Here is a 15727-nt window from a genome sequence, read left to right on the forward strand (position 1 = left end):
GTCACAAAGCCTACTGCCTGCTAATCGGCAAGTGGACCTGTTTCTCTAACAATGGCCCGAAACTTCACAACATCAAAGGAGAAATCATTGCCAGCAAAAGCATTTCCGGGTAGTAGGAAAGAATACAAGTGAATAACATTAGTCCAGAAGTTTTAATAATATTCTTTGCTGGTTGAAATTCATGTTTAATATGATGTAAATTACTTGATAAGCAAATTAAGAACTATGCTACTACAGACTCCAAATAAGACGCAAGAAAAATGAGAGGAAATACATTAAAGGAAAATCTTAAAAAAACAGCTGCACAGAAGATAAATTATTTTTCCAGGAGTTTTAAACATAGTTGCTTTTGTTTGTTTGCTTTGCTGTTTTTTCTTAATTGTTTTAGTAAGCTCAGGCTGCTATATAAAAATAAGATAGGCGCTGGTCTGAACAATAGACATTTATTTCTTATAGTTCTTGAACCTGGCAAGTCTGAGGAGGGTCATCTTCTGGGCTTTCAAAGGGCTGCCTTTTTCCTATGTACGTACATAGTGAATAGAAAGCGTTAGCTCTCTGGTCTCTACCTGTAAGAGCACTAATCCCATCATGAAGACCCCATCCTTATGGGCTCATCTAAACCTAATTACTTCCAAAGGTCCCACCTCCAAATGCTAACACATTGAGAGTTAAGGCTTCAATATATTAATTTTGGGGAAACAAGACACAGTCCATATCAAATATATATATATATAATATATATGTATAATATATATGTATACTATATATGTATATAATATGTATGTATAATATATATACAAATATATATAATATATATTACATATACCCAAGTATATATATTATATATATTTGTATATATATTATATATATTTGTATATATATTATGTATGTTATGTAATACAACTATATACACTCTAAAAAGGCAGTGGAATATAGACATACTTCAATTGATTGTGCTTTGCTTCACTTGGCTTCACAGATAATGTGTTTTACACAAATTGAAGGTTTATGACCACCCTGCATCAAGCAACTTTATTGGCACCACTTTGTAATAGCATGTGTTCATTTGTATCTCTGTGCCATATCTAGGTAAATCTCACAATATTTCAAACTTTTTAACTATAATTATATTTGATATGATAATCTGTAACCAGTGACCTTTGATGTTACTATTGTAATTGTTTTGGGCACCATGAACCACATCCATATATGACAATGAATTTAATCAATAAATGTGTGTGTTCTGACTGCTCCACCAACTTAGACAATTAGTTTTAGATCTTTTATTTAGACGATGAGAAAATTTAAACTATAAATAGGCCAGGTCTGGTGGCTTATGCCTGGAATCCCAGCATTTTGGGAGGCTGAGGTGGGAGGCTCACTGGAGGCCAGGAGTTCAAAACCAGCCTGAGCAACATAGGGAGACCTCAGCTCTACAACTGAAAAAAAAATAGCCAGGTGTGGTCATGGTGGCACCGGTCTGTATTCCAGCCACTTGGGAGGCTGAGGCAGGAGGTTTGCTTGAGTCCAGGAGTTTGAGGTTGCGGTGAGCTACACAATGAGCTATGGTGGCACTACTACACTCCAGCCTGGGCCATAGAGTAAGGCCCTGTCTCTAACTGGAAGTCCAAAGAGGGATCTACTTCCAAGACTATTAATTTAATAGATCAATAAATTAATCAAGAATATGATTTTTTTCTCATCTTTCTCTGTAGTCATATTTTATACAGACTTTTTGTTTAAGTAATCTCTCTTTATGGGCAGACAATGATTTCAGAAACACCACAAATTATTCTCAAAGAGAAAAGATGAGGATTTTTTTTTTTTAGAAAATGTAACTCTTTTCAGTAGCTCTTGGCAGACCTACCCTCACATTTTCTTGACTAAAAACAGTCATTAAAAAAAGTCAGTCACAAACAGGTGAATTTAAATTATCATGGTTTACCTATGCTTAACAAGCTTTATCCTCAGAGGTAAGGATAGGGTTACTTTCCTGAATTTTAGATATGTGGAAATATTTGGAGTTATGTCAATAAATGAAAAAGTGTGATGGGTATAGTGCTTGCCATGGAATATACCAAATACAGATATTCTGAAAACTTTAAGTTCAGTAATATGCCAGGGGTTCCCAAGACCATTTGAGACCTGGTAATTTATTGGAAGTCTCTAAGGGAATCAGAAGCTGTAGTACTCATTGTTACAGTATATTACAGTAAAAACAGTACAGATAGAAGTCAGCTAAGAGAAAAGACAAATGAAGTGAACTCCAGGAGAAACCAAGTCCAAGCTCTCAGGTGTCCCCTCCCAGAGCAGTTGCATGGGGACATGTTTAATTATCCCAACAACAATATGTAAAGTACAAAGCATTGCCAACCAGGAACACTCGCTGGAGCCTAGTTGTCGAAGGTGTTTACTGGGATCAGTCGCATAGTCATGTAATGCCCATATGATTGACCTCAGCTCCATGACATTTAAGCACAACTTTCTTCCTACACCCAGAGTAAAAACAGATGTTCACATAAGTCACGTTGATAACATAACCTTTTCTGGTCGAACTGGGAGAGTATGGCCCAAGACTTCAGGAAAACAAGAACACTTTTATCAAGCAAAATACTCCAAGGGCTCAGAGATGAACTCCTAGTCTAAGGTCTAGTCCTGCAGAGGGACCCCTCTTTGGAATGTATAGTATTTGAGCAATTCAGGCCAGTCAAGTTAAACCTTTTCACCCATGCCTAAATGCTATTTAATAAATGTAAATAACAACGATGAGATAGTTTATTAAACATTTTTATTGAAATACACAAATAGTATATAGTTAATTAATTTTAACAAAGTGATTGTACATATTTCACAATAAAATTCCCTTAAATTACCATCTGCTCCATCTGCAAGTAATTATTATTCTGATTGCTAATAACATAGACTTTTTTTAACCTATTTTTGAACTTTTATAATAGAATTAAACAATATATATTCTTTTCTGGATGGCTTCTGTTACTCAGAAATGTATTTAGGAGAGTCATCAAAGCTCTCTTGGGTATACCATTTATCCTTCTTGCTTGATAATACTCCATGTATGTATATATATGCTATGATGTGTTTATTTTACTCTTGATGGATAACTGCAAAACTTCCAATTTAAGCTGTTGTGAATAATTCTTTAATAAAAAATTTTGTACATTTGCTGAATATGTTTATGTGTTCCTGTTGGATGATAGTAGCAGAATTATTGGTCACAGGGTATGCATATACTTAATTTTAACAGATAAGATCAAATACCTTCCAAATTCATTTTAACAATTACAGTCAACCTGCATTGTTTTAGAGCCCCGATTGCAGAGTCATTTTGGATTAGTTTGTCTTTCTCTTATTGATTTTAATGGATAGTGTTAGGCTGTAAATAATTTATGCATAGTAAGAACTTTCTCAACAAATTTTACTCAGACTTCTGCTCTACGCTAAGAACTAGCTCTGGAAATTAATTCACAGAAAGAACATGGTTAGGGGCCATCCTGAGGGATTTACCTCACTAGGGATATATATTTACATTTCAAGAGAAGATGAGACCCAGTAGATGCATCCCAGAAGTTACAAAGCTGGAGACTCTAGTGTTATCTTTCCCCTAGAGAGATTTATTTTTATCCAAGTGGTTAGAGTAAGAACTCAGACTTTTTTCCGTTTTGTGACTATGGAGACACACTCAGAAGGGGGTCAGAGCAACTGGGTCACTCTTCCACAAAAATGCTCAGGTTCTTTTTTCCAGAGTTCTTTGCCTACAGCAGATCCCCTTACATGTAGGACATCTGGTTCTCACCACATCACCACCACGGTAAGAATTAGTGGAAAGGAGAGCTAGGTTAAGGGCAGCTGTTTCTTTCCTTCTCTGCAGCCTCTGGTACCAAGTACTGCATGACATGTGTCTCACAACATTCCTGCCTCTGCACCTCTGTGCTACGACACTGGATGAATCTATGGAGTGAGCAATAGAAAGTCTCTGTACTGCCAGAAACAACTTCATTTTACATGGAAGTGGCTTTAAATCAAGCACATTAACCTCAATGAACTGAAATTAAATATGTCTCTATTCAACTTCCCCTTAGCTGAATACTAAAAGTGCTGTAGGCTGGACCCGCACTACCTGACAGGGAGATAAATGACTAAAGGCAAATGGGAGTCAAAACAGGTGTGGCTTTTCTTATTTTTAATTAAGCATCTTACATAGCAAATTTTGCAAAACTCGTATGACCCCGAGAAAGACCCATACACATGAAAGGTCTTAAAGATTTAACTTTCTTAGCTTTAACGTAAGCTTTCCACTGGATTTTCCCATTACACTCATTCCATAAAGAAATGAAATAATCATATATCTCATTATATAATTATACTAAATTGATCTCGACACATTTTCTTAGCAATATATACCAACATTGTTTCCAATATTGTTTATTACAAATGATGCTACAGTTGAAATCTTTATATCTGAACGCTTGTGTGTGTGTGCGTACCTATTCTGTGTATAACACTGATTTTATTTATTTGTATAGGCCTGGAAGTGGAAATACTGTGACATAAAATAGAGGCACAGCAAATTATTCAAGATGTCGACAAACAGCATTGTTTCCAAGTTTTTGTTCCCTTACAATCCTTGCCATTGGCCAATCTCTCAGAATCCCGTGTTGCTTAACATTTGGTAGCTTAGTAAATATTTTAAATCTCAGAGATTTTACCTAACTGATACCAGGGTTTTTAAAATTTGTTTATATAGATTAAGCGTCTTTGAAGAAATAACAGTATGCAAAAAATATGGTTGCTATTCTTCATGTTAAAACTATCTTAAACTCTTTTCCAGAGGAAAAAATAACAAAATAGAAACCAATGAAGGTCTTTTGCTTGGTGATTACATATATTGATTACCTGTGTAAGTTAAACAGATTGGGAAAAGGAAATATCCAAAATTGTGCCTAGAGTATATCATGACATCATGTATATATGTAAATAAGTTAATTTTTGCAATCGCAACATAGAGAAAAATGTTATTTTAAATGAATAAAAATAAATAGAACATAAAGTAATATTTCAGCATATTAAATTTAGGAGTAAAAACCTTTGACATCCCTGAAAATCTTTGGTAAAAAGTCCAGATTATGATAACTTGGCTTTAATGAACTAGGAAATAGATGGATAATAGCACACACATTTTTAGCATTGTAGGGATTATTTTCACTGGTTGTAGGATCAACACACTTGGTTTAAATAATGGTTCTGAGAATTTAATTAATTAATAATTTAATTCATTTTTGTTAGGAAAATAAATTCATTTCTAGACACAGGATATTTTACAATTGGATCATATTTCAAAAAAGAATCACTGTGTTTTTAATGAACAAATGTCACATAAAGAAGTCTTTTCAAAAAGTGCTTCAAAAACTTAAATTTGAAATGTATGCAACGGATCCACAAGGTATCTAATAATTTTTATTTTTACCAAGCTCATGAGTAAGTTAGCCCTGAAACAGTTTCGGAGAAAAAAAAAAGTGTTTTAGTTTCTTCATCTGTAAAATATTTATGTTGCAAGTGATTGAGCAAATATATAAATGTAAGCAGTTTGATCCTAGAACTTGTTGTGTTTAAGAATATGGATTATTGAGAAGTACTTCACCATAGTATTTATCACATAGTATGTCCTAATTGAAGATTAAGTATGGTTGTAATCATAATAAAGTATTTTGAAAATTCTTTTGAAAACTGTTTTAATGAATTATAGATTGAACACTGAGATAAGATGGAGTTATCCATGATCTTTAAGACAGCAAAATTAGGTCTTGAAATTAAAATTGAAATGAATATAATACACATATATTGATTTTATGTCGATGTTTTATAATCAAATCTGATTAGAAAAAGGACATTGGTATAAAGGTTCTCCACATCTTCTCAGTCACCCTACTTCATTTTCTAAGGGAATTACATTACGTACTTTTATTTTATTTCTTGTTATATAGCTGTATCCTTTCCTTGATTTCTTGGCTTGCTTCTGCTCTCTTCTGCTATGCCTATCCATCAGTTTCCAGAGCTCAGAAAAACAGTTTTTAACAGCCTAATATATGTATTTGGCAATTTCCTCCCATAGCTGTGATTTAATATTCATGGCCACATAAAGGGTATAAAATATTTTGCACTCGGTGTATACACATTTTCTTTATATCACTTTATCTTTCATCAATAACTCAATGGAAATCCCGTTAAGAGAATATGGATAGCTCTAGTTGGTATTCAATGTCTGCTTAACATTTCATGTTGACAAATTATCATAAACTATTCAATAGAAGAATTTTACTAACAATATATCGTTAACATTCTAAAATATTTTTGTATAATCTAGACTTTGGTGGGAACAAACCTTGGAACAAACTGGTTCCAAGGTTTCTTGGAGGGGAGTGGTGAAAAAGAAATGGGGAAATTTATGTTTTTTGAATTTGTCAACTTATTGAGGAGGGGTAAGTAGAGAAATTGACTAATTTGCTAAGACAATAGAAGGCATCTTTATTTCAAATAGTACTTGAAAATTATGCATCTAATTGTGAGGTCAAAAAATTGAAGATACCCCTTAATAAAGAAATAAAGGATAGATCTTCCAAAATAACAAGGATGTAGTGGAATGAATAAAAATGTATCAAGTCAGCAGCAATAAGGTAAAAATATTAGAAAAGTAATGTTAAATAGTTGTCAGATGGAAGGATATATTTGAGCAAATATTTTGTTAAATAGATGACAAAAAGGTAATATTTATACATTACATATATGTGTTTGTATGTATGTATGTATGTATGTATGTATGTATTTATTTTGAGATATAGTCTTGCCTGTCACCCAGGCTGGTATGCAGTGGCACGATCTCGGCTCACTGCAACCTCCGCCTCCCGGGTTCAGACAATTCTCCTGCCTCAACCTCCCGAGTAGTTGGAACTGCAGGCGACCGCCACCACACTTAGCTAATTTTTTTCTTTTTAGTAGAGACGAGGTTTCACCATGTTGGCCAGGCTGGTCTTGAACTCCTGGCCTCGTGATCTGCCTGCCTCAGCCTCCCAAAGTGCTGGGATTACAGGTGTGAGCCACCGTGCCCAGCCTCACAGATGTCTTAAAATTCACCTGATAAAGTTAGGAGCCTCAAGAAAAATTAGCAGAGGAAAATAATAGGTAGTTACTATTTAGGGTAAACTAAACTGTTCTAAGGAATAGAAAATAAAAATTCCATGTCTTCAAAAATAATTCTTCCCTCTCAATCTCTCTGAATATCTCATAAGAGTATTCAGGCCACAGAAATAACTACCATTTAGCCACTCAGAGGCTTATAGTACTTCTACTAACTTTAACATTTGGCAACCAAAATTACTCTAAGAATCATCACCCAAGTCAGACAAACAGGTAAGATAACAAGAAAAAGTGCTTGTATAAGGATTTAAGACTAAGGCTCAGGGACAGCAAATATTCTATTTGCTAAAACTAAGCCACATGCACACACCAAGCAAGAGAGCCAGGGAAGTGGATAGGCACAGGCAGTCAGTCCACAGAAGAATGAATCAAAGTGCTGAACTTTCATAGAAAAATCTGTTAAGATTCATGGGTGGTAAAGAAAATACAAATTAAAATAACACAGGAATGTCACCAGAAAAACCATCAAATAGGTAGCATTTAAAGATATCTATAGGACTTATTGTTTCTAGTGTTCTCTCATATATTTCTGGTGAAGAATAATTTATTGTAGAGCTTTTTGAAACAATCTGACAATTTATATTGCAATTAATTGTACTTATGCCATCTGACCAAACAATGTAACTCCTAGGCTTTTTGCCTATATGACTAAAATCATATGCACAATAGTGGTTATTACATTCTTTAGCCCAGTAGCCATTAAATTCCTTGTGCCCTTAAAACCTAAAAGTTCACAGGGAGAAGACCTCTTACTGACTTGTAGAATCTCAATACTACTTATCTTGAAATTTCAGTAAGTGTTAGGTAAAAGAGTTCATTTGGGATAATCACACTATGATAGTCTTTAGCTTTTGAATTGGAATCCAAATTTTAGTTTAGAACAGCAAAGTTTGCGCCTAAAGATTTCATGAAGTAAAAATACTAATTGTGATTATATATCTAAATATTTGCACATCTAAAGTTGTCTTTTACCCGTAACCAGAATAAATGATACCTTTTTAAAAAAAAAAAAAAAGAAGAGTAATCTATCTAGAAAATGAAAAAATTAGGCTAAAATGGTGACTTAAGTAATTTAAATGGATATAGATTTATAAAATTAAACTATTTCTCAATTTTGAGAGGAAAAAATCAAGGAAATCAAATATACCTTCTCTTTCTTTTGTCAACAGATGTATGCTGTCTTAATTGATGCTTAATTTATTTTTCCATTACATAATTTTAATATTGTAATAATTATAACAACAGACACAAAATGAAATTTCTGTACATTTATGAAAAATGCTAAAATTGTAAAGTAATTTAAATATATAGGTTTAATTTATTCATATGATTTAAAATTTTATGTCATTTTGTTTTATTTCTTAATTGTTGCTATAATTAAATGTTAATAAAATAAAGTCTTTAAAAATTCTGATTTGGCCTTGCAATATGCGATTAGAACACTTGTAAAAATGCAAACATATAAATAATGCAAAAATAATATTTGAAAAATGTAATCGTTCTTAATGTTATTGAACATCCAAAAGTTATTGACGAAGTATTCAGAAGCATTTTAGATTATTGTAAAATATTATTTAAATTATATTTAATTAAAAAATGATATACATTACTCAGTAAAAAGAAAAATAGATAATCAAGAAAAGCAAAACTGAAAAGATGAAAATGTTTTAATATTCAAGAAGCAATCCTGTCTTTTTTACTGAATTAAGGGACTTCCCTGCAATAAAATCGATTATGCTCACATAATAAAGGTATATCTTAATAATTTAAGTGAAGAAATAAAATCTGTCATCACTTTCACTTTCATCTGGAAAATAGTACCTCGTAAGTTTTTTCCGTTGCAGACTATAAACATAGAAGCAAATTTATTAACTTGGCACTATTATATAAGGTGCATAATGAGAGTTTGTAAAATGGCAAAATAGTTTTTTCTAGTCCTATAGTCAATTTATCATCAGAATAGCTTCAGACTCTATACAGGTTCATTCTATAAACAGTATTGGTGAAAAATCAGATGTGTGGTCTGTTTTTTGTTTGTTTGTTTGAGACTATCATTGTTGAATATACATCAAGCAAAATAGTTAAAGAAAAGCCTTTGGAGTAACGTCGTAAATTCAATAATATGTATATGTGCACACACACACAAATACACATCCCAAACAACCACAAGAGGAATAACAAATTTATAACCCGGGTGGGCACGGTGGCTCATGCCTGTAATCCCAGCACTCTGGGAGGCCGAGGCAGGCAGATCACTTGAGGTCAGGAGTGAGACCAGCCTGGCCAACATGGTGAAACTCCATCTCTACTAAAAATGCAAAAAATTAGCCAGGGTGTGGTGGTGCACACCTGTCAGCTACTCAGGAGGCTGAGGCAGGAGAATCGCTTAAACCCAGGAGGTGGAGGTTGCAGGGAGTGGAGATTGTACCACTGCACTTCAACCTGGTTGGCAGAGCAAGACTCTGCCTCAAAAAAAAATATTATTACCAAAAATCTCACTAATTCTATACGTCAGCATTTATTAAAATAAGGATAAGAGAGAGCTACTGTAGATATCTCTAAGAAAATAAATAAATGACTATTGAATGTGTAGTTAATCTTTTTGTTTGCCCATTTCTCTTTAGAGCCATGCGCATGAATTGCATTTGCGGGCTGGATTACCAAGGGCTTCTCTGAAATGGCAAAGAAAATAATGTTTGATTTCAAAATGCAATAATAGTAGCTATATGAAAACATGACCTTTGAAAGATTATTCAGCAAATAATACACTTAATGAAACTTGTTTTTTAAGAAATAGATATTTCAGAAAATATGGTACTACATATGATTGTTGCCAAATCATTCTGTATACTTAATGGTTGTTCAGCACTTTCTGTTTTATAAAGTACTTTCAAATATATCAATTCAGTTAGCTAGTACCCAAATCCTTGATGTAATCACTGTTATATAACATACAAGCAAACTGTGTGTAATAAATCACTCTGCAGTTGGAGTACAAGAGTAGGCATCAGGAAAGTGGCAGGTGTGTCATTTTGAATAAAGGCTGTTGTGGGAAAGGTTCCTTCAGACAGATCCCTCTCCCTAGGTATTTATGTGGTGAGAATAGCAGGTGAGGTTTGTGGAGTAGAGTCCGGGGCTTGTGCATCCTTAATTCAAGTAACAGCACTTGAATTAAAGGTTTATCCTAACTATAAAGCTATACATTTTTCTCATGATGTATTTGAATATATTCTTTTTAAGGAAAGAAAAAAATGTAGTCATATAAATGTTCAGGTCCTGAAGTATATGTATGTCACTTATTGCTATTCTCTTCTGTATTTTATGTGAATGCCACAAACATTTTTAAAATTTTAAAGAAGTAAACATATATACAACATAGATTTTTAAAATGAGATATATGCTGAAACAAAGTTTTGAGGAGGTATAATGTTCCGAAATGTAATTAGATGACAAATTATTTCTGGTACACATTTCCTAGCACTTATATTTTTCACCCACTCATAAAACAATGTGAAGTAGGTCATACTGAGTCACCAAATTAAACATTCAAATTATTCTACATCTCCAAAAGTAGCCCATAATTAAAAGGAATTTCATATTGGAATAACTGGACCTAATTTGCTTATTCATTAAATTGTGTCCAAGTGTAGTCTCTGAATTATATCAATTAGGGAACTAGAAGGCATACTTAAAAAGAGCTGAATTAACAGTGCAAATAAAGTAACCACTGTGGATACTTTTGAAAATTCTAGTATTAATTTTGTTAGTCAATGCAATGGAAATACATCAGTAGCATAGTAATAAAAAATATTTCTTTTTATAGCATCTTTGATAATTATAAAATTAATAAAGATTTATTATTTAAAAAAACAGAATAATTCCTACATCATTAAAATCACAAGTAACTCCACTGTCTAATTACAACAACTATTGCGGATTTTATGTATTTTCTTATCATTTTATTTATTTATAATTGATAGGTGAGTATTAAAATTAGCCTGACATTATTTTATGATTAATAATTTATTTAAAATATATTATATGATTAAGTGTCTATTTAAAATTAAGCCTGTTAAAAATAAAACTATTGATCTTTCCTATCCTCTAATCCCAAATTTGCTCCTCCCAAATTTAAACCCAGGTGAGTAATTCCAACTCTGTTCCTCCCATAGTTCAGGCCAAAACATTGCCAATATCATGGACTTTTGCCTCTAATATACAGGGTTCAAATATATATTGTTTGCATAGAACAATTTCAATTTATAATTTACATAGTTTATAGTTTACAACAGCTTCAGGAATAGTTTACACGATAGTTTCCTCACTAATTTCCCTGTTTTCTCTTTTGCTATGCTATGGTCTATTTTCACAGATCAGTCAAACTGTTACTGCTAATTCTTTAAAGAGGCGATTGCTTTTCTGTTTAAAACCCTTCATGGCTGCCAATTAAATAAACAAAAGTTCTTACCATTTTCTAAGAAGCTTTATGTGACCATCTCCCCATGGAGTGTGACCTCATCTCCTCTGCTGTATCACATTGGCATCCTTAGTGGAACCTCACGGGTGCGTTCATACACCAAGGCCTCATTTGCTATTTCTGCTCCCTGAAAATATGTTCTCTCAATTATGCTCTTGGCTCATTCTCTCATAACCATTCATTGTATTCAGATGATACCACCCATCGAGGCTTTCAGCAACCATCTTGTTCAGTATCCAGCACCTCTTGTGCCCAGAACTCTCTATTCCCCTTCTTTGCCACATTTTTTAGAATAGAACTTAAACCATCTGGCATACAACACATGATACTTTGTGGTATTAATTACTGTTTTTCTCCCAACACTGGAACAACAGCTCTGTGAAGCCAAGACATTCTGAATGTTATTTTCACTATTTTTTCCCCAGTCCCTACAAATGGGCCTAGAATATACATAGTAGATGCTCAATAATTTGTTGGGGAACAAATGAAAGTTGATCCTCAATAATATTTTATAATGAATAGGCTTACAATTTATGAAAAAGCCATAACTTATTTAGCCATCTCCCTAAATTTGCATGCTTTTGTAAGTAATATCATGGTTGTGAAAACAATTATGTGTGTATATACGTGTATGTATATAGGTATTTTATGGCAATGATATACATACATGTATAGTCTTCTGTAATATTTACAGGTGCTTTTGTTTTGCTTGCATTATGCAGCATATATGATTTTATAGCTAGTATTCTGGATGTCCACGAAACATCAATTAAAAAGAAACTAATATTATTAAATAACAGACCTGTTAAAGTGGTAGTCAAAATATTCTTTCCCCATTATATACCTCAGAGATTTCTGATGAACCCTTTTGTAATCTAACTGTGGCTGTAATGATAATAAATTTTTTCTAGATAGTTTTACAAACAATTTTTAATCTTCAAAATTCAAGGCTAATGTATGCATGTTGAATGATTATGGCATTCATATATAAGCTATGTTTGGAACCAGAACTTACCAGTGCTTATATTTATGTGTAGGTATGATAGACAAAGCATAGGAATAACAAGATATCATTAGTTTACTATTCATTAAAAATATGAGTAGAACTGGTTTTGCTCTGTAGTTTTTGCTATGATAAACCTTAGCCATGAAAATAACCTGCTATTGAGCATGTGTGTCATCCATCTTATGACTCACCAAAAATAGGGAAATGAGTCTAGAACCATCAAAGCAGTTGACAACAGAAGTGAGATTTCAGCTTGGATACATTTTATTATAAAAGTAGTATAATTATATTCAAGAATTTTTTAACCTTTTATCTCACTAAATAAATTTCAATATTCATTATAAATAATAAATTCAAGCATTTAAAATATTATTTATATATTCTTAATTTTTGTTGTTTGTTTTAATTACACATGTCAATCCTGTTATGGAATGACATCAACATCCCCTTGGCAAGAGGATATTTTTAAATTTCCACATGTACATTTTAAGAGTTGATACAACCCTATTTATCTATGATTTTCTCTTTCCTATAATTAGTAATTTTCACTGTAGAAGACTCACTTATAAAAGTGTATATTATTATCATATTTGGATGATAAACTAAAATTTTGAAATATTTAGAAGCATTGTTATGAACTCATTAAAATTATCAGAATCAATTCATATAAAATGATATTTAATATTTTCTTATACATAAATTAGTGACATTAATTGTTTTATACTTTTAATTTAATTTGATTATGAAAACTTTCTATGTGTTTTTGAATTTGTGTAACCTTAGACAGATTGCTAAACCCATTTCATCATGCATTAATAGAATAGGATTAGATAATCTCTAAGGGTCCTTGGCTCTAAGATTATATGATTGTAATTAATGGCACTGCAGATCTTGTAGAGGGACATTAAAATGGACCCATACCTGAAGTTACTTTTCAATTGAATTAGTACTTAGGGAGTTGAGACAGTAGAAACAAGGAAGGCAAAACAGTCTTTCATAACAGATCATAATAAATTTGCTAATATTATAGAAAGGTCATTGGAAAGTGTTTGTCCTTTTTTTTTTAATAGGACCTTCCCATTTTCACTTACAGTTTTGAATACATTTATACATTTCCTTCTTCAAGCGTCATTTAAATTAAAAGTGTTTCTATTTTCTCCAGATGGAGTTTCAATGCTCATAAACATTTACATTAGGAGAGAATATAGTACCTATTATCTAACTTAAGTTGAAAAAGAATGAAACTGTAAAATATATTTACCAAAATAACTAAAGATTTATTTATCTTCAGTAGGCCTCAATTAGTTTACCTTTAAAAAGCATTCATTGATACAAATTTTAAAAATCCATGTAACAGACATCAATCAAATGTGATTTTTCTCCAGTTTATTATTTTCTGCCAGGGGAAATAAAATGCAATAATCACATTTTAAATATACATCTTTTTAAATGATTCTGTTGTTATACATATGATTGTTATTAATATTTTTACTATTATTGAATGCCCCTGTACTGACCTTTCCAATTTGATAGTGCAGTAAGAAATAAACTTTTTTTTAATATTGAGAATTGGAAATGACCTGGTAATTTCTTTGTACTAGAGACCACTAATTGTCCATATAATGCATTCTTTCATTTTGTTTAGTAATAGAATCCTAAGTACATATGACCACAAGCAGGAGATTACCTTCTATAGTCTCTTATCAGTGATTAATTTTGATCAAATATAATATAAATTATATTATGAGCATAAATTTAAGTTAATCTCCATAAAGACAAAGCTGATTGTTTTTACATCTCTTCTTACACATTTTACTGTCTGGAATGCAGAAGTATTGCTGAACTTAGCCATGAGGATGAAACACTAAGATAGGATTATAAAGAGAATACAAGATGAAAATCTCCTGGGGCCCGGGATGAATTCATGGAAAAAACATCCCCACCAACTCTCTTAATTGTTGGAGAGAAATATAAGCCTACAATAAGGGTCACTCCTTATACTCATCATTTTTGAGTTAGAGATATTGACAAGTGTATCAAACTATATATTTTCTCCCACAAGACATTGAGGGGCACACTTCTTTTATTCTCCAAAAGTAACAAAAAATGCTTTGGTGTCTAATTTTTAGCCTGCAAGGGCTGTCATAGTGTTGTTTTCAAAGACTTACATGTTTTATTTCCTTACCTCACTGCAACATTATAAATTTATCTTCTGTGCTAACATCATGATAGCATCTAATGGTTCCAAGAGTGAAGATTATCACTAGTTTATGAACCTTTGTATTCCCCAAAAGAGAAAGAGATATTACATAACCAAATTCCAAGTATGATTAACCAATATTTTTCTAAAATGTTCCACTTCTCAATTCTGTCTACTAATTTGAAATAACTGAGCAAAATACATTTGCAACATGATAATTCTTCAAACTCGGCTCTTATACCAAGCAGTACTGATGATTGGGGCATTAACAAAACCAATAAAATTGTTTTGCAAAACAAAAACGAAGTGAAAAATATGCTCAGCTTATCTTACACAATATTGTTTTCTATATCAAAAATGGCTAGATAGCCTTAGAAAAAATGGCATATACATTATTTACCTAAAAGTTGTAGTAATCTGGGTAGAAGCTTAAAGTGACCTATCCTGTCATATAGTTGTCATTAACTAGGATATTAATTATTCTTAAAAGGATGCAAAATTTTTCCAAGGGATGTGCATCTGCAGACAGTTTTAAGGGACTATTGTCAAGAACTGTGAAGGATCTGAGCTTACAAGTTAGCCTGCTTCAGTTTTATGGATGTTGGCAGAAGACACATAACTGTTTGGTCAGAGACAGAAAGACTTCCATTATTTGCAGTACAGCACAGAGTTGCACGAGCTTCATCTTTGCTCTGGTTCCTGTTTTCCCTCAAGTTTACTGGAGATGATGACAAGGAGTTCAAGTTGATGCTACACACAGTTTGTGTCACAGATGAAGAACTCCAAGTAAAGGAAACTTAAATCTTTAATAAATGAGCAGTAAGCACACTTG

The 15727-nt window shown here is 32.5% G+C and overlaps 2 long non-coding RNA genes across 2 annotated transcripts in view; both read left to right on the top strand.

Moving 5' to 3' along the window:
• Positions 1-15727, top strand: part of LOC124900272 (uncharacterized) — a 90204-nt gene that overhangs the window by 46925 nt on the left and 27552 nt on the right. The window contains exon 2 of the long non-coding RNA XR_007061513.1: positions 1-15727. This exon is cut by the window's right edge and continues 27552 nt beyond it. This is a non-coding gene — a long non-coding RNA (uncharacterized LOC124900272).
• The window catches only part of LOC107984035 (uncharacterized), a 123240-nt gene that overhangs the window by 45988 nt on the left and 61525 nt on the right, over positions 1-15727 (top strand). The gene's annotated exons all lie outside the window — the stretch shown is intronic.

Source organism: Homo sapiens, chromosome 9 (assembly GCF_000001405.40).
Source record: "Homo sapiens chromosome 9, GRCh38.p14 Primary Assembly".
In the NCBI taxonomy this organism is placed as follows: domain Eukaryota; kingdom Metazoa; phylum Chordata; class Mammalia; order Primates; family Hominidae; genus Homo; species Homo sapiens.